The sequence below is a fragment of the Homo sapiens genome, chromosome 19 (genome assembly GCF_000001405.40).
Source record: "Homo sapiens chromosome 19, GRCh38.p14 Primary Assembly".
In the NCBI taxonomy this organism is placed as follows: domain Eukaryota; kingdom Metazoa; phylum Chordata; class Mammalia; order Primates; family Hominidae; genus Homo; species Homo sapiens.
In genome coordinates, this window is record NC_000019.10 from 21,275,549 (window position 1) to 21,296,106 (window position 20,558).

Consider the following 20,558-nt stretch of genomic DNA (forward strand, 5'->3'; position numbering starts at 1 on the left):
TATAAAAACCTGTACTTGACTTTTTTTTGTTTTTGTTTTTGAGACAGAGTCTCGCTCTGTCATCCAGGATGGAGTGCAGTGGCACGATCTCGGTTCACTGTAAACCCCGCCTCCCGGGTTCAAGTGATTCTTCTGCCTCAGCCTCTTGAGTAGCTGGGAATACAGGCATGTGCCACCATGCCTGGCTAATTTTTGTATTTTTAGTAGAGATGGGGTGTCAACATACTGGCCACGCTGGTCTTGAACTCCTGACCTCATGATCCACCTGCCTCAGCCTCCCAAAATGCTGGGATTACAGGCATGAGCCACTGTGCCCAGCCTTGTACTTGATATTTTATCAAGATTATCTGCCAACAAGTTACCCATATTCGGGTTTCAATGAGCCTGGAATCTTCTTTCCACTTGATAGGGGTATGTATTAGGAAATCCAGTTGATGACATTTTTATTTAAAAAATCAAAAAGAATCAGCACAGTCAGGTTGTCTTAGTCTTAAGGATTTCTGGATTCCTTTCTTGGAGGAGGTCAGGATCTTTCCAAGGCTTGGGTCCTTGGATATTCTTCCAGTCATCAAAAGTGGAGTCTTTTCTCATATTCTGACTCTAATGATACTATTTGCTTTCAGTTTTTTTCCAACTCAGGATCAATTTTAATCTTCACTGCATCATGTCAGATTTGTAAAAACTCACGAACACCAAAAGAAACTCCAACAATTAGCAACAACATGGGGACTTCGTAGTGGAGAGTCTTATTCTTGCGCAAAGCACGCATCACTGCGGGTGCAAACGACTGAACTCTTCCACCCGTTTAGAACTGCAAGCAGGCCCAACGCAGATTCTCAAATCTCAGTGGTCCAAGCTCTCATCAAGATGAGACTCACCAACTTTCCTTGGTTGTTTGGTGTTCGGTCCTTACTGATAGGTTTCCAAGCATTTTTTAAATATGTTTGTTGGCCATTTGTATATCTTCTTTTGAGAATTGTCTATTCGTGTCATTCGTCCACATTTTCATGGGATTATTTGTTTGTTTGTTTGTTTGTTTTTTCTTGCTGATTTGTTCAAGTTCCTTGTAGATTCCGGGTAACAGTCCTTTGTTGAATGCATTGGTTGTAAATATTTTCTACTCTGTGGGTTTTCTCTTTACTCTGCTGATTACTTCTTTTGCTGTGCAGAAGCTTTTCAGTTTAGTAAGTCCCATTTATTTATGATTTTTTTTTTTTTGCATTTGCTTTAGGGTTCCTGGTTACAAACTCTTTGCCTAAGCAAATGTCTAGAAGCGTTCTTCTGATGTTATCTTCTAGAATTTTTATAGTTTCAGGTCTTAGATTTCAGTCTTTGATCCATGTTGAGTTGATTTTTGTATAGGATGAGAGATGAAGACCCAATTTTCTTATTCTACATGTGGCTTACCAGCTATCTCAGCACCATTTCTTTAACAGGCTGTCCTTTTTTTTTTTTTAAAACGGAGTTTTGCTCTTGTTGCCCAGGCTGGAGTACAATGGCACAATCTTGGCTCACTGTAACCTCTGCCTCCTGGGTTCAAGTGATGCTCCTGCTTCAGCCTCCTGAGTAGCTGGGAATACAGGCGCGTGCCACCATGCCTGGCTAATTTTTTGTATTATTAGTAGAAACTGGGTTTTGCCATGTTGGTCAGGCTGGTCTTGAACTCCTAACCTCAAGTGATCCACCTGTCTTGGTCTCCCAAAGGGCTGGGATTACAGGCATAAGCCACTGTGCCTGGCTAATTTTTGTAGTTTTATTAAAGATGAGGTTTCACCATGTTGGCCAGGCTGGTCTCAAACTCCTGACCTCAGGTGATCCACCTGCCTTGGCCTCCCGAAGTGCTGGGATTACAGGCATGAGCCACCACGCCCAGCCTTAGGGTGTCCTTTTTATACTTTGTTTTCGTTAACAGTGTCAAAAATTAGTTGGCTTTAAGTATTTGGGTTCATTTCTGGGTATGAAATTCTGTTGTTGTTCTACATGCCTATTTTTATACCAGTACCATACTGTTTTGATAACTATCACCTTTTGATATAGTTTGAAGTTGGTAATGTAATGCCTTCAGATTTGTTCTTATTACTTAGTCTTGTTTTGGCTATGTGGGCTTTTTTTGGTTCAATATGAATTTTATAATTGTCTTTTTTTGTTTTAGTTCTGTGAAGAATGATGATGCTATCTTTATGGGAATTGCATGGAATTTGTAGATTGTTTTTGGCATCATGGTCATGTTCACAATAGTCACTCTACTTATCCATGAGCATGAAATGTGTTTCCATTTGTTTGTGTCATCTATAATTTATTTCAAGTGTTTTGTTATTTACCTTGTAGAGATCGTTTGCCTCCTTGGCTAAGTATATTCCTAATTATTATTATTATTATTATTATTATTATTATTATTATTATTATTTTTCAGCTGTTGTAAGAGGGGTTGAGTTCTTGATTTGATTCCTAGTTTGGGTTGCTATTTGTGCATAGCAGTGCTACTGAATTTTGTACATTGATTTTGTATCCTGAAACTTCACTGAATTCATTTATCAGATCTAGGGGCTTTTTGGATGAGTCTTTAGTGTCTTTTAGGTATACAATCACATCATCAGTGAACAGTCACAGTTTGACTTCCTCTTTTCCAATTTGGATGCCCTTTATTTCTTTCTCTTGTTTGAATGCTCTGGCTAAGAATTCCAGTACTATGTCGAATAGAAGTGGTGAAAGTGAACATCCTTGTCTTGTTCTAGCTCTCAGGGGTAATGCTTTCAAATTTTTCCCATTCAGTATAAGGTGGGCTGTGGGTTTGTCATAAATGGCTTTTGTTACCTTAAGCTATGTCCTCTCTCTGCCAGTTTTGCTAAGGGTTTTAATGCTGAAGTGATGCTGGATTTTGTCAGATTTTTTTCTGAGCCTATTGAGATAATCATGTGATTTTTGTTTTTAATTCTGTTTATGTGGTATATCACATTTATTTACTTGCATATGTTAAACCATCCCTTCATTTCTGGTATAAAATGCACTTGATCATGGTGTATTATCTTTTTGATATGCTGTTGTATTTGGTTAGCTAGGAATTTGCTGATAATTTTATCATCTATGTTCATCAGAAATATTTACTTTTTTTGTTTTTTTGTCATGCCTTTTTCTGGTTTGGGGATTAGGGTGATATTGGCTTGATGGAATGATTTAGAGAAGATTACCTTTTTATCTTTTGGAATAGTTTCAGTAAGATTGGTAACAATTCTTCTTTGAATGTCTGATGATAAAATATATCTGTGAATTCATGTACTCCTGGACTTATTTGGTTAGCAATTTTTTATTACTATTTCAATCTCACTACCTCTTATTGGTCTGTTCAGAGTTTCTGTTTCTTCCAGGTTTAATCTAAAAGGATTGTGTATTTCCAGGAATTTATGCATCTTCTCTAGGTTTTCTAATTTGTACATGTAAATATATTCATGGTAGCAAAATCTTTTGTATTTCTGTGGTATTGTCTGTAAATCTTCCATTTTGTTTGTAATTGAGCTTATTTAGATCTTCTCTCTGCTTTTTTTGGTTAATCTTGCTAGTAATGGTCTATCAATTTTGTTCAACTTTGTAAACAACCAGCTTTTTGTTTCATTTATTTTCTTGTATTTTTTTGTTTCAATTTCAGTTAGTTTTTCTCTTTGTTATTTTTTCTGTGCTGCTGCATTTGGATTTGATTTGTTTTTGCTTCTCTAGATTTTTGAGGTGTAACCTTATGTAGTCTGTTTTTGCCATTTTAGACTTTTTGATGTAGGCATTTATTGCTATCAACTTTCTCTTAGCACGACTTTTGCTGTATCCCAGAGGTATTCATAAGTTGTGACATTATTGTCATTCAAATCAAAGTGTTTTTAAATTTCCACCTTAATTTTGTTGTTGATTCAAAGCTCATTCAGGAGGCTGGGCATGGTGACTCACTCCTATAATTCCAGCACTTTGGTGGGCAGATCACTTGAGGTCAGGAGTTTGAGACTATCCTTGCCAAAATAGTGAAACCCCATCTCTACTAAAAATACAAAAATTAGCCAGGCATGGTGGCTTGTTCCTGTAATCCTACCTACTCGGAGGCTGAATTGCTTGAACCTAAGAGGTGGATGTTGCAGTGAGCCAAGATCATGCCACTGCACTCCAGCCTGGGCAATAGAGTGAGACTCTGTTTCAAAAAAAAAAAAAAAAAATCATTCAGGAGTAGGCTATTTGGGTTTATTTCTGGGTTCTGTATTCTGTTCTACTGATCTATGTGCCTGGTTTTTTTGTTTGTTTGTTTGTTTGTTTGTTTTTTTGAGATGGAGTCTCGCTCTGTCTCCCAGGCTGGAGTGCAGTGGCGCGATCTCGGCTCACTGCAAGCTCCACCTCCCGGGTTCGCGCCATTGTCCTGCCTCAGCCTCCTGAGTAGCTGGGACTACAGGCGCCTGCCACCGCGCCCGGCTAATTTTTTGTATTTTTAGTAGAGACGGGGTTTCACCGTTTTAGCCAGGATGGTCTCAATCTCATGACCTCGTGATCCATCTGCCTCGGCCTCCCAAAGTGCTGGGATTACAGGCGTGAGCCACCGCGCCTGGCCTATGTGCCTGTTTTTATACCAGTATCCTGCTGTTTTGGGGACTAGGGCCTTATAAAATATATTATGCCTTGAAGTCAGGTAACACGATGCCTCCAGATTTGTTCTTTTTGCTTAGTTTTGCTTTGGCTATGTGAGCTCTTTTTTGGTTCCATATGGATTTTATCAGTGATTTTTCTACTTCTGTGAAGAACATTGGTGGTATTTTGATGGAAATTGCATTGAATTTTTAGATTGCTACTGATTTGTGTACGTTGATTTTGTATCCTGAAACTTTGCTGAATTCATTTATCAGTTATAGAAGCTTTTCAGAGGAGTCTTTAATGTTTTCTAGGTATACTATTATATTACCATCAAACAGCAACAGCTTGATTTCCACCTTACCAATTTAAAACTTTTTTTTTTTTTTTTTGAGACGGAGTCTCCCTCTGTCACCAGGATGGAGTGCAGTGGCACGATCTTGGCTCACTGCAACATCTGCCTCCGGGGTCAAGCGATTCTCCTGCCTCAGCCTCCTAAGTAACTGGGACTACAAGTGTGTGCCACCACAGCCGGCTAATTTTTGTGTTTTTAGTAGAGACAGGGTTTCACTATCTTAGCCAGGCTGGTCTCGAACTCCTGGGCTCATAATCCACCCGCCTCGGCTTCCCAAACTGCTGGGATTATAGGCATGAGCCACCGTGCCCGGCCTAACAATTATATCTGTCTCATCACTTAAAAGAGCCACTAATTTTTTTTTTTTGAGATGGAGTCTTGCTCTGTTGCCCAGGCTGGAGTGCAATGGCATGATCTCAGCTCACTGCAACCTCCGCCTCCTGGGTTCAAGCCATTCTCCCATCTCAGCCTCTTGAGTAGCTGGGATTACAGGCACGCACCACCATGCCTGGCTAATTTTTGTATTTTTAGTAGAGATGGGGTTTCACCATGTTGGCCAGGCTGGTCCTGAACTCCTGACCTCGTGATTCGCCCGCCTTGGCCTCCCAAAGTGTTGGGATTACAGGTGTGAGCCACTGCACCCAGAAAGAGCCGCTAATTTTACTTTGGAAATATAGTGAATATTTATATTAAAAGCTAGGCTAAGCTTACTATTATGTAGAAAATTTGTGATTTGCATGTGCATTATTACCCATTAAGTGGTCTACAGTTTCTGAAAGTTTCAGAAACACCAATATAAAAATACTATTTCTGATTGAATAAAGGATATCAAGTTATTTTAGTTACTAAATGAAACAGATTGGAATTACTGGTCACAATGTGGTTTTAAATGTTATTTAATGAAAACGTGAAGTTTCTGTTCAACTCATGTTAACTATTTCTATTGTTTTTTTCACTTCTATTAGAAAAATATTAAAATTTAAATTGCTACAAATGTATGAATGTATTCAAATCTAAACACAGTGCCAATCTTAAAAGATCTGTATGCATAGGATTATAGAACACCTATTCTCTTTTTACACTTAGAAGATAAATAACTGCTTTTCAGTAAACCCAATGGGGCAATTGTGACTCACAATCATAAGCTACTAAAATATTAATACTATCATCTAGAAAGTATTAATTCATTTTTCTTACTTATGAAACACAATCATAATTTCTAGTTGACATAACACTAGATTTGAGGTGCTGTGGCTGTAGTAACTAGAAATGTCATGGTTGACTCAGCTTTACCTTCTGCCTATTTCTCACAAACACAGCAAAACAAGGAAGGCCAGAAATCCTACACCTTGATTGCAAACACACCAGTACCCTTCTAGGGAGAATATATGTTTGAACATATTAACTTGAAATTCCTGGCATCTTTTCTTGAAGAACAGACTTTTTTTTTTTTTTTTTTTTTGAGGTGGAGTTTTTCTCTTGTTGCCCAGGCTGGAGGGTAATGTCGCTGTGTCGGCTGACCGCAACCTCTGCCTCCTAGGTACAAGCGATTCTCCTGCCTCAGCCTTCTGAGTGGCTGGGATTACAAGCACCTGCCACCATGTCTGGCTAATTTTCTTTGTATTTTTAGTAGAGACAGGGTTTCATCATGTTGGCCAGGCTGGTCTCGAATTCCTGACCTCAGGTGATCCGCCTGCCTTGACCTTCCAAAGTGCTGAAATTACAGGCATGAGCCACGATGCCCAGCCTGAGGAACAGATTTCTATATGGCAAATAATAAAGGCAAATAAAAATTAACGCTAAAATAGAATGAGGAAAGTATTCTTTCTTCACCAGAATGGTTGTGACAGAATGGTTGCAGCAGGGTGGTCTTAAATAACCCTCACTCTATTTTGTTATTCTTGAGTTATGGTCATAAGACATTTATGCTTATTTGAGAGAAATCTTTTTTTCCTAATTCAGAAATTTAGCATGATTTTCACAATCTCACATTTTCAAAAATGGTTCATTATAAAAAAGAAAGATGATTAAACCAACTTCCATTTTTTCCCCAAAGAGTAACAAATTAAATCTGTAGTCTAAAGTACAGCTAATAAAAAATAAAGATTAGTCACTTATTCTAGCTGCATAATTGGGAATAAAACACTTCTTGAGCTATAGACCAAGAGCTTTCAGAGATGTTAGCTTATAGAATGTCGAGCGACCTGGTACAGAGACTTTCACCCCTCTTTCAAAAGGGAACATAATACTGAGTCTTTCACCCCAATTCCAACTATTAAGCCAGAACGGGAGAAGTGTAACATGTCATTATCCACAAACCATTTTATTATTACAGATTGAGGGTATGTGTGCAGATTTGTAACACAGGTATACTGCATGGTGTTGAGGTTTGGGCACTTAATAATCCCATTACCTAAGTGGCATACATCATACCTGTTAAGTAGTTTTTCACTGTTTCTCTCCCTTCTTTCTTCTTTTTGGAATCCCCAGTGTTTATTGTTTTCATCTTTGTTTCCATATGCACCCAATGTTTAGCTCCCACATGTAAGTAAGAACATGTAATAGTTTTCTGTTAATTTGCTTAGAATAATGGCCATCTTCTGCAGACATGTTGCTACAAAGGACATTACTTCACTGTCTTCTGTGGCTGCATAGTATTGCATGATGTACAAGTATCTAAGTTTTTTTTATCCAATTTAAGATTCATGGCTACCTAGTTTAATTCTGTCTTTGCTACTGTGAATAGTGCTGCAATAAACACGTGAGTGCAAGGAGTCTTTTGGGTAAAATAATTTATTCTCAGGCGGGGCACAGTGGCTCACGCCTGTAATCCCAGCACTTTGGGAAGCCCAAGTGGGTGGATCATGAGGTCAAGAGTTGGAGACCAGCCTGGCCACCAGGATGAAACCCCGTCTCTACTAAAAATACAAAAAATTAGCCGGGCATGGTGACACATGCCTGTAGTCCCAGCTACTCAAGAGGCTGAGGGAGGAGAATTGCTGGAACCCAGCAGGCAGAGACTGAAGTGAGTCCAGATCGCGCCACTGCACTCTAGCTGGGGAGACAGAGCAAGACTCCATCTCAAAAATAAACAAATAAATAAATAAATAATTTATTCTCCTTTTGGTATACACCCAGTAATGAGACTGATGGGTCAAACGGCAATTCTATTTTCAGTTAAGAAATCTCCAAACTGCATTTCACAAGGGCTGCATTAAACTGCATTTCAACCAACAGTATATATACATTCCCTTTTCTCCACAACTTCAACATCTGCAATATTTTTACTTTTTAATAACAGCCATTCTAACTGCTATGAAATGGCATCACATTGTCATTTTGATTTACATGTCTCTGATGATTAGGGATGGTGAGCAATTTTTTGCATGTTTATTGGCAACTCTCATGTCTTTTTTTGAGAAGTGTCTACTCAGATCATTTGTGTATTTCCTTATTAAATTTTTATAGTATTCTAACCATTAACTTAATTTATATATTATATAAATACATAATATATATGAATAAATATTAACTTTTTCTTGTATGAAGTTTGAAAATAGTTTATTCCATACTCTAGGTTGTCTGCATATTTGTCAATGGTTTCTTTTGGTGTGCAGAAGTTTTTTAGTTTAATTAGGTGTTAATTTTTCACTTTTATTTTTGTTGCATTCACTTTTATGGTGTTAGTCATAAATCCTTTCCAGAGGCCAGTGACTAGAAGAGTACTTTTTTGATGTTCTACGATTTTTATAGCTTTAAGTTTCACAGTTAAGTTTTTAATCTATTTTGAATTACATTTTTTATATGGTGAGAGGTACAGTTTCAATTTTCTCCTTCTACATATGATTAACCAGTTTTCCCAGTACCATTTGTTGGATAGACAATTTTTCCTTGTTTACTTCTGTTGACTTTGTCAGAAAAAAGTTGGGTGTAGAAATGTAAACTTATTTCAGGGCTTTCTCTTCTTTCTATTGGTCTACATGTGTATTTTTGTAGCAAGCCATGTAATATGGATTACTGTAGCTTTGTAGTACAAGCCAGGTAATGTGAGGCCTCCAGGATTGCTTTGTTGTTAATGTTGCTTTGGCTAAATGGGCTGTTTTATTCTTCCATATGACTTTTAGAATGGTTTTCTTTTTCTAATTCCATAAAAAGTTGCATTTATAGTTTGAGAGAAGTAGCACTTAATCTGTAAGTTGCTTTAGGCAGCACGGACATTTTAATTATATTGATTCTTTAAATTCATGAGCATGGAGTGCCTTTTTACTTATTTGCGTTGTCTCTATTTTTTTTCAGCAGTTTTGTAGTTCTTGTTGTAGAGATATTTTACCTCCTTGATTTAATGTATTACTAGGTACATATTTTTTTGTTTGTAGCTATTGTAAATAGAACCATGTTCTTTTTTTCTCAGCTTGAATATTATTGGTGCACAGAAATGCTACTCATTTGTGTATGTTGATTTAGTATGGTGAGACTTTGCTGAAGTCATTCTTTAGGCTTAGAAATCTTTTGGTGAAATCTTTTTCGGTGAAGTTTCCCAGGTAGAGAATTATATCACCAGTGAAGATAATTTGACTTCCTCTTTTTCTATTTGAATACATTTTATTGCTTTATCTTGTTAAATTGCTGTGGCTACGACTTTCAGGACTATGTTGAATAGAAGTGTTTAGAGTGGATACTCTTTGTCTTTTTTTTTTTTTTTTTTTGAGATGGAGTCTCACTCTTGTTGCCCAGGCTGGATTGCAATGGCATGATCTCAGTTCACTGCAACCTCTGCCTCCCACATTCAAGTGATTCTCCTGCCTCAGCCTCCTGAGTAGCTGGGATTACACATGCCTGCCAGCACGACAGGCTAATTTTTTGTATTTTTAGTACAGACAGAGTTTCACCCTGTTGGCCAGGCTGGTCTTGAACTCCTGACCTCAGGTGATCCACCCACCTCAGCCTCCCAAAGAGCCGGGATTACAGGCGTGAGCAACTGCACCCAGCCTTATTTTTATTCTGATGGAGACCTCATCCAGGTTTTGCCCGCTCAGTATGATGTTGGCTGAGGATTTGTCATGGATGGCTCTTATTATTTTCAGGCATATTTCTCCAGTGCTTAGTTTGTTGAGAATGTTTTTATAAATGAGTATTAGATTTTCTTGAATGCCTTTTCTGCATGTGATAATTGTTTTTTAAAAATTATCTTTACATGGTGAATCACATTTATTTACTTGTATATGATGAAACATCTTTGCATTCATACAATGAAGTTTACATGATTGTGGCAAAATAACTTTTTGCTTTGCTTATGAACTCAACTTGCTAGTACTTCATGAATTTTTGTTTCAATTTTCACCAAGAATAGTGACCGGTAATTTTCCTTTTTTGTTGTGTCTTCACTAGGTTTTACTACCAAGATAATAATGTTTTCAAATAATTTAGGAAGGACTTCCACCTTGATTTTTGGAATACACTCAGTAGAATTAATACCAGGTTATCTTTGTATATGTGATAAAATGTGGCTGTGAACTCATCTTATCCAGGGCTTTCTATGGTTGGTAGCTTGTTTTATTAGTAATTCAATCTTATTATATACTTTATACATTGTTGCTCTGTTCAAGACTTCTGTTTCTTTCTGGTTCAATGCTGAGAAGCTGGATGTATCCAGGAGTTTATCTATTTTCTCTAAATTTTTTAGTTTGCATGCATAGAGATGTGCATAGTAGTCTCTGAGGATGTTTACTATTTATGTGAAATTAGTTGTGATATCACAACTCTAACATTTAAATAGATGCAGAATAAAAGCTTGACAAAATTTGGCTGGGTGCAGTGGCTCACACCTGTAATCCCAGCACTTTGGGAGGTCGAGGCGGGTGGGTCACCTGAGGTCAGGAGTTCGAGACCAGCCTGGCCAACGTGGGGAAACCCTGTCTCTACTAAAAATACAAAAATTAACTGGGCGTGGTGGCTCACGCTTGTAATCCCAGCTACTCAGGAGGCTGAGGCAGGAGAATTGCTTGAACCTGGGAGGCAGAGGTTGCAGTGAGCCGAGATCGTGCCAGTGCACTCCAGCCTGGATGACAAGAGTGAAACTCCAGCCAAAAAAAAAAACAAAAGTTTGACAAAATTCAACATTCCCTCATGATAATCTCTAAAAAATAATTAGTATAGGACAAATGCATCTCAAGCCAATAAATGCCATGTATAGAAAAAAATGTCCAGCTAACAACATATTAAACAGTGAAATGTAAGCTCTTACTCTAAGACCTAGAACAAGACAGGGATGCCCTCTTTCTTCCTTTTCCTTTCTTCCTTTCCTTCTCTCCTTTTCTTGCTTCTCTTTCTTTCTCTCTCCTTTCTTCCTTTCCTTCTCTCCTTTTCTTTCTTCTTTCTTTCTCTCTCTCCTTCCTTCCTTTTCTTTCTTTCTTGTTCTTTCTTCTTTTTTTTTTTTGACGGAGTCTCACTCTTGTCACCCAGACTGGAGTGCAATGGCACAATCACAGCTCACTGCAACCTCTGTCTCCCAGGTTCAAGCGATTCACCTCCCTCTGCCTCCCAAGTAACTGGGATTACATGCACCTGCCACCATATCCAGTTAATTTTTGTATTTTTAGTTAGACTGGGTTTCACCATGTTGGCCAAGCTGGTCTCGAACTCCTGACCTCAGGTGATCCACCTGCCTTGGCTTCCCAAAGTGCTGGGATTACAGGCATGAGCCACCACTCCTGAGCAGATGACCACTTTCTTCATTCTTAACTAAACATAATACTAAATGTCCAAAGAGAGAAATTGTAAGATAAAAGCAAAGATAGGCAGATTGGAAGAAAAGAAATTAAATTATTTGTTTGCAGACGATATAATCTTAAGTACAGAAAAGCCTAAGACTTTACTAGAACTACTAGAACTAATAAACAAATTTATTAAATTTGCAGAATACAAATCAACATATGAAAGTCAGTAGCATTTCTATACACTAACAATTAACTATCTCAAAATGAAATTTAAAAAGAATCCCAGCTACAATAACTTGAGTAACTATACTTTGAAATAAATTTAAGTAAAAAGGTGAAACACCTTATATTATAATCTAAAGAACATAAAAGTAAAAAATTAAGTAATACACAAATGGAAAATATTACTCATTCCTGAATTGGTACTATTAATATTGCTAAATATGTGTGTTAAACAAAATAATCTACAGATAAAATGTAACCTGTATCAAAATACCAGTGACTTCATAAAATTTTTAAAATGTATTTAAAATTAATATGGCACCACAAAAGACCCCAAATACCCAGAGCAATCAAGCAAAAAAGAAAGGTTGAAGGTATCACACAACCTTACTTTGAAATATACTACAAAGCTATAGTGACCAAAGCAGTATATTGGAATAAAAATGAACCCAAAGAAACCAGAAATATATCCATGTATTTACAACTGTCTAATTTTAAATATAGGTGACAATTTCTCAGAGAAAGGACAGTATCTTCAATAAATGGTGTTGAGAAACTTTACAGCCACATGCAAAGCAATGAGACCCTCATTTGACACCACATGTAAAAATCAATTCAAAATAAATTAGAAACTTACATGTAATGCTTGAAACTGCAATGAAACTAATACACAAAAGTAGAGTAAAAGCCCCATAACATTGGTCTAGGCAGTAACTTTTTTTTTTTTTTTTTGAGATAGAGTCTCGTTCTTTTGCACAGGCTGGAGTGCATTGGTGCAACCTCAGCTCACTGCAACCTCCATCTCCCGGGTTCAAGCAATTCTCCTGCCTCAGCCTCCCAAGTAGCTGGGACTACAGGTGTGTGCCATCAAGTCTGGCTAATTTTTGTATTTTTAGTAGAGACGGGGTTTCACCATGCTGGCCAGGCTGTTCTCAAACTGGCCTCAAGTGATCCACCTGCCTCGGCCTCCCAAAATGCTGGGATTGCAGGCATGAATCACCACACCCGGCTGGCAGTGACTTTATGATTTAAACTCAAACCCCAGGAAAGCAAAGGAAAAATAGATGACTCAGATTACTTCAAATTAAAAAGCTGCTGCACAGAATCTGATGAAATCAACAGGATGTGACAACTAAGAAATAAGAGAAAATATGTGCAAATCATACATGTGACAAAGGGTTAATATCAAAAATATATTAAAATTCAAATGACTATATCACAAAAAACAAATTAAAAATGAGTAAAATGCTTATTTTTCAAAAGACATACATAGAGCCAACAGATACATAAAAAATTCTCAATGTCAATTATTATTATTGAAAGCCAAGACAAAATAACTGTGAGATATATACTCACTTTTGATAGAATGACTCTTAGTAAAAAGAAATGTGTTGATAAAGATGTGAAGAAAAGGGAATGCTTGTATACTATTGGTATGAGTGTAAATGAGGACAGCCATTTTGGAAAACAAAAGAGAGATTTTTCAAAAAAAATTTAAAATCAAACTACCATATAATACAGCAATTGCACTATTAAATATACATCCAAAATGAATAAAATCACAATGAAGGAAAGTTTGCACTTCTATGTTGTTTGCAACACTCAACACCTAATAAGTAAATAAAGACAATGTGGTAGATATATCTAGTGGAATACTCTTCACCTCTAAAAAAAAATTCTATTATTTTCAACCACATGGATTAACCTAGAGGATATTAGTTGAAATAAGCCAGGCACAGAAAGATTAGTATTTCACGATTTCACCTACACTTAAAGTATAAATAACAAATCTCATTGAAGTAGAGAGTAAAATGGTGACCACAAGATGCCAAGATACTTAGAAAAAAGAATGGTTTGGAAAGATGTCTATCAATGAATACATAATTATAGTTAAGTTGGAGGAATAAGTTCAAGATATTGTTTGTGCAACACTGACTACAGTTCATAATATTGTATTTTTGAAAAATGGTAAGAGGATATTACAGGCTCTCACCACAAAAATGTAAACTATGTGAGGTAAAGCATTAATTACCTAGAATTTATCATTTGACAATGTAGATATACTTCAAATCATCATGCTTTACAGAACACACATTTCATCTGTCCAGTTAAGAAATGTATTTTTAAAACATTATAGAAGGATAACAATGTTTCAAATATTGTGTCTTCATCATTAATTTTGCTGAATAGTATCCAAAATATATGGTTTTTGTGCTGTTTTTTTCGCATTATTTTTCAGCCACAACACAACCATAGGTACTCTGATATTTAACAGCATGTTCTGGACACAGCACAGTGTATGAGAGGAGCCAATGTAGTTTAGGGCTTCTAAGCTTGGGGCACCTGGAGTTTCTGGTGCTGATGGTAATGGTATGATAGACAGTAAATGGGCAGGTGATGTTTATTGTCCCATGACTGTGAACACAGTAAACAAGCTTGCATGCAAAATAATAGGAAATGTTTTAATCCACAAGTTGCCAAAATTTCCAAAATTCTTCAGAGAAAATGACCAAGGAGTTGGCTATACTTAGATGACTCAGAATAAAAACTGTAGATTGGGCCAGGTGCGGGGGCTCACGCCTGTTATCAGCATTTTGGGAAGCTGAGGCAGGTGGATCATGAGGTCAGCAGTTCGAGACCAGCCTGCCCAATATGGGGAAACCCTGGTCTCTACTAAAAATACAAAAATTAGCTGGGTGTGGTGGCGCATGCCTGTAATCCTAGCTACCTGGAAGGCTGAGGCAGGAGAATCACTTGAACCTGGGAGGCGGAGGTTGCAGTGAGCCGAGGTTGGGCCACTGCACTCCAGCCTGGGCAACAGAGCAAAACTCTTTCTCAAAAACAAAAAAAAACTGTAGACTGAACTTCACCCACTGAAAAAAAGTTATATGAACTGGAAATTTCTTCAAATTGTAATATCAGTATGGAAAAGAAATATTATCTCAAATTTCAAATTCACAGAGGTCACTTTATTATTTTGCCATGTTTAACATTCACTCTTAAAGTAGAAGATTCTGCATAGAAATTAAGTTACACTACATTACAGAAAAGTAAATTTAAAATTCTTTACTTACCATTAGAACTCCTAAAATTTTGATTTCTAAAATATATTCTCTAGCAAATTTTGTATTTGCTACACGTTGTATAAAAATCTAGGCCAGGCGCAGTGGCTCACGCCTGTAATCCCAGCACTTTGGAAGGCCGAGATGGGCGGATCATGAGGTCAGGAGATCGAGCCCCTCCTGGCTAACACGGTGAAACCCCGTCTCTACTAAAAATACAAAAAATTAGCTGGGCGTGTTGGCGGGCGCCTGTAGTCCCAGCTACTCAGGACACTGAGGAAGGAGAATGGCGTGAATGTGGGAGGCGGAGCTTGCAGTGAGCCGAGATCGTGCCACTGCACTCCAGCCTGGGGGACACAGCGAGACACTGTCTCAAAAAAAAAAAAAAAAATTAAACAGATTTCAACAAGAAAAAATAATAAAAATTTAACCTACGGAAACAGTATTTTTTAAACTTATTTGCAGTTGAAAGCCACTGGCAAAGGAGATTACCAGAGATGTTAGTTGATTACATTACCAAATAGTATATTCTTACTATCATTTACCTACACCTTTGAGTAAATGGGATAGGTTTCAGTTAGTGGCATAATAATGCTTCATTGAATGCACAATAGTATTAACATGTTAAAAATGTATAATGAAACAAGTTCACACATCATCTGAAAATTTAAAAATGTACTGCATTTTATTACATAAAAGTACAAATAGTAAAATAACGTACTAATTTTTTAATTTTAACAAAACTTAAATGTTCTTACTATAATGCAAAAGAATATTACTCTAAACACCTACCTCATGCACCACTCAATATCATAATTAACCACAAATACCATCTCCACTTAGATTTTCATCATGCATGTTACATTTTAATGTCCTTACTCTTCCAAAGAAAAGGTCATAAATAATGCCCACCTAAAAAAAAAGAAACTCTCCTATCTTTGATGCCGTGACAACTGATCACATGCTTTCACATGTGAATACAATAGAAATGAAGAAATAGCATCAAGTAACTAGAGAGTTGAATCACAGCAATATTAGCTTTTTAAAAAATCTGTACTTCTTTTCAAGGAAAAAAGAACACTTTGGGCCGGGCGCTGTGGCTTAAGCCTGTAATCACAGCACTTTGGGAAGCCAAGCTGGGCAGAGCATGAGGTCAGGAGTTCAAGACTACCCTGACCAATATGGTGAAACCCCGTCCCTACTAAAAATACAAAAGTCAGCCGGACGTGGTGGTGTGCACCTGTAATCTCAGCTACTCAGTAGGCTGAGGCAGGAGAATTGCTTGAACCCAGGAGGCAGAGGTTGCAGCGAGCTGAGATTGTGCCACTGCACTCCAGCCTGGACGACAGAGAGAGACTCTGTCTCAAGGAAAACAAACAAACAAAAAAAGTATACTTTGAATGTAATTACAAACTTCCAAAAAATCTTCTACTCCTTTTAAAGTTATGTACAAATAAATTTATCTACCGTTAGTTTGGGATCATTTTTAACAGTCAGCACTTTGATATAGTGTAATGTCTGAAGCATCCATACCTTAGTTTGTTTGTTTTTGAGATGGAGTCTCACTCTGTCACCCGGCTGGAGTGCAGTGGTGCAATCTCGGCTCACTACAACCTCTGCCTCCTGGGTTCAACGGATTTTCCTGCCTCAGCGTCCCAAGTAGCTGAGACTACAGGCACGTGCCGCCACGCCCAGCTAATTTTTGTATTTTTAGTAGAGACAGGGTTTTACCATGTTGACCAGGATGGTCTCAATCTGTTGACCTCATGATCTGCCCACCTCAGCCTCCCAAAGTGCTGGCATTACAGGCGTGAGCCACCATGCCCGGCCCTACCTTAGATATTTCCACTGTGAATTCTCTGATATTTACATAGACTTATTTTGGATTAAATGTTTTAAATATATACTGCATCTGCAAAAATATATCTCAGTATGAACCCTCTGGTGTTGTCTAAGTTGTAGTTTTGGAAAACTTTTTTTTCAAATTTATTACATTTGCAGGGTTTTTCTCCAATCTGAATTCCCTGATGTTGAACAAAGTTTAAGTAACTGCTTCAGGGTTTTCTCTAGTACAAAATGTGTACAATAAGATCTGTGATACAAATAAAGGTATTACAATCCTCTTTTATTTGTAATGTTTGTCTTCAAAATAAATACTTTAAAAGCTTATATTTTCTGAAATACTTTTTGACAGTAATTAAATTTATAATACTTTTTTTAAGTACTCTCTGATGTTGAGTAAGATGTGAGCAGACATTAATGGCTTTTTCACAGTCTTTATATTGGTACAATTTTTCTCAAGTATAAATGCTTTCCTGGCAATAAGGTGTGAGTATTCATTAAAAATTTTGCCACATTCTTCACACTTGTAAGAGTTTTTCTAGTAAGAATTATCTTACCTACAATCAAGTGTGACAATCATTTAAAGATTTTGTCACATTTTTCGCATTTTTAAAGTTCCTCACCAGTATGATTTATTTTATGTTTAGAAAAGTTTGAGGTGTTGTCAGAATTACTGTGATGTCTTCCAGCTTTGTAGTTTCTCTCCAGTTTAAGTTTTTTTATGTTTAGTAAGATTTAGGGACCAGTTAAATGCTTTGCCACATTCTTTACATTTGTAGGGTTTCTCTCTAGTATGAATTATCTTTTGTTTCATAAGGATTAAGAGCCAGTTAAAGGCTTTGCCACATTTATCACATTTGTAGGATTTCTCTCCAGTATGAATTATCTTGTGTTTTAATAAAAGTTGAAAATACACTAAAGGATTTGACACATTATTTACATTTGTAGGGTTTCTCTTTGGTATGAATTCTCTTATGTTTAGTAAGGTTTGGGGACTGGTTAAAGGCTTTGCCACATTCTTCACATTTGTAGGGTTTCTCTCCAGTATGAATTATCTTATGTTTCATAAGGGTTGAGGACTGGTTAAAAGCTTTGCCACATTCTTTACATTTGTAGGGTTTCTCTCCAGTATGAATTATCTTATGTGTAGTAAGATGAGAGGACAGAATAAAGCTTTTGCCACATTCTTCACACTTATAGGGTTTCTCTCCAGTATGAATTTTTTTATGATTAGTAAAATTTGAGGAGTAGTTAAAAGTTTTGCCACATTCTTCACATTTGTAGGGTTTGTCTTCAGTATGAATTACTTTATGTTTAGTAAGGATTGAGAATATACTAAAGGCTTTACCACATTCTTCACATTTGTAGGGTTTCTTTCCAGTATGAATTACCTTATGATAAGTAAGAGTTGAGGACTTGGTAAAGGCTTTACCACATTCTTCACATTTGTAGGGTTTCTCTCCAGTATGAATTACCTTATGATTAGTAAGGTGTGAGGACCGGTTAAAAGCTTTGCCACATTCTTCACATTTGTAGGGTTTCTCTTCAGTATGAATTATCTTATGTTTAGTAAGGGTTGAAAATACACTAAAAGCTTTGCCACATTCTTCACATTTGTAGGGTTTCTCACCAGTATGAATCCTCTTATGTGTAGTAAGGTGTGAAGATAGGGTAAAGGCTTTGCCACATTCTCCACATTTGTAGGGTTTCTCTCCAGTATGAATTTTCTTGTGATTAGTAAGGTTTGAGGACTGTTTAAAAGCTTTGCCACATTCTTCACATTTGTAGGGTTTCTCTCCAGTATGAACTATCTTATGTTTAGTAAGGTTTGAGGACCGGTTAAAAGCTTTGCCACATTCTTCACATTTGTAGAGTTTCTCTCCAGTATGAATTATCTTATGTCTAGTAAGAGTTGAGGACTGGTTAAAAGCTTTTCCACATTCTTCACATTTGTAGGGTTTCTCTCCAGTATGAATTATCTTATGATTCGTAAGGTTTGAGGACTTTTTAAAAGCTTTGCCACATTCTTCACATTTGTAGGGTTTTTCTCCAGTATGAATTATCTCATGTTGAGTTAGTTGTGAAAGCATGCAAAATGATTTGCCACATTCTTTACATTTGAAAGGATTTTTTCCAGTATGTCTTATCTTATGTCTCTTTGCATTTGAATATTTATGAAAGACTTTCACGTATTTGTCACACTGAACTATTTTGCTCTGGGTAGTTGTCACACACCGGTTAAGTCCCTTGTGACCTCCTTTGTGCAACTTATGCTCATCCACACTTTTACAGCCTTTCTGATATCCACATTTTCCATATCTTCTCAGTATCACTTGTTGGAAAGAATTTTTTATATATTGCTCTGGCCTAAGGTCTTTGGCAAAATGAGAACACATAGCTGAAAGAAATAAAAATAACAAATTATTCCATTTACTCAACTCAGATTAATATTTACAAATCTAACTTATACCAACTATATAAACAAGATGACATAGCAAAATACTACAGATCCTAAATCCTTTATAGACATATAAATGTAACAAAAGCATTCTGACCAAAATACATTTGTAAAAAATTTATAAATAAGTAAAGTCTGTGCAGTGCCCCAGGTGATGACAATGCAAAGAGCCACATAGGAGAAAAAAGAAAAGTCTGTTACATTTACCCAACACACCTCTTTCTGCTGCCCAATATAACATAGCGCCTTCAGAAGTAAATTGCCAACTCCTGGTTTCTTTTTTAAAAGACTAAAAAAAATAGTGTCACATACATCTTTATTTCTGGCTCTTAGGGGCCTTTTCAGACACTGGTTTCTGTCTCCCATGACATAAAGTGCTAAAAGAAATGGTGGTATACTTTGGAATGACAGTTTGAGTCTGCTGAGACCAAAGTTAAGTGTTACAGCAGCAGAGACTGCAGTACCACATACAGGAAACAGGTTTAGCAAGTGATTACTGACTATTTAGAAAAAACACTAACATACTTCTTTAACTTAAAAAGCCCACAAAATTTCAGACAAGACACAATCTAAGAAAATGTTTGCGAGACTCCCAAAATCTCTAGCCAAGACAACTGGTTTCAAACTATCCCAGGCCTAAGGTACATTATAAAGATTGTGACAGGGCCGGGCACAGTAGCTCACAGCTGTAATCCCAGCATTTTGGGAGGCCAAGGCGGGTGAATCACCTGAGGTTGGGAGTTCAAGACCAGCCTGACCAACATGGAGAAACCCCATCTCTACTAAAAATACAAAATTAGCTGGGCATGGTGGCACATGCCTGTAATCCCAGCTACTCGGGAGGCTGAGGCAGGAGAATCGCTTGAACTCGGGAGGCAGAGGTTGTGGTGAGCTGATATCATGCCATTGCACTCCAGCCTGGGCAACAAGAGCAAAACTCCATCTCAAAAAAAAAAGATTGTGACAGGTAGCTTGTTTTTAATGTTTAAATCTCAATCAAAGATTAATGTACACAAAATATTAGGGCAGGATGACCCCATCAAAAACATTACTAAACTTTCAGAAAGCAACCATAGGAATATAAAGATGTATAAATTTTTCAATTTAAAATAAATTAAATACTACACAGTGAATGAAACAGGAACACAGACAACTACTGAAGTTCAGAAAAATGAGGATAACAATAAAAATATTAAAAATCTCAAAAAACATAAATTAGGAAGATAAAAATGTCAGACAAGAAGAGAATCTTGGGAGCTGCAAGATAAAGTAATGTATCATTTATAAAAATGTCTTATGAGATAACC

At 36.9% G+C, this 20,558-nt stretch overlaps 1 protein-coding gene and 2 pseudogenes across 5 annotated transcripts in view; all 3 read right to left on the reverse strand.

The window, feature by feature from the left end:
• Positions 1-426: 426 nt before the first annotated feature.
• COX16P1 (COX16 pseudogene 1) lies at positions 427-15,784 on the reverse strand (annotated as a pseudogene).
• VN1R83P (vomeronasal 1 receptor 83 pseudogene) lies at positions 14,006-14,450 on the reverse strand (annotated as a pseudogene).
• The window catches only part of ZNF708 (zinc finger protein 708), a 38,251-nt gene continuing 33,304 nt past the window's right edge, over positions 15,612-20,558 (reverse strand). For all 5 annotated transcript variants that reach the window (XM_017027203.3, NM_001297561.2, NM_021269.3 and 2 more), the window contains one exon: positions 15,612-19,191. In XM_017027203.3, the coding sequence (XP_016882692.1) occupies positions 17,726-19,189 (1,464 nt within the window). In that variant the 5' untranslated portion in view covers positions 19,190-19,191 and the 3' untranslated portion in view covers positions 15,612-17,725. The remainder of the gene's footprint in view (positions 19,192-20,558) is intronic.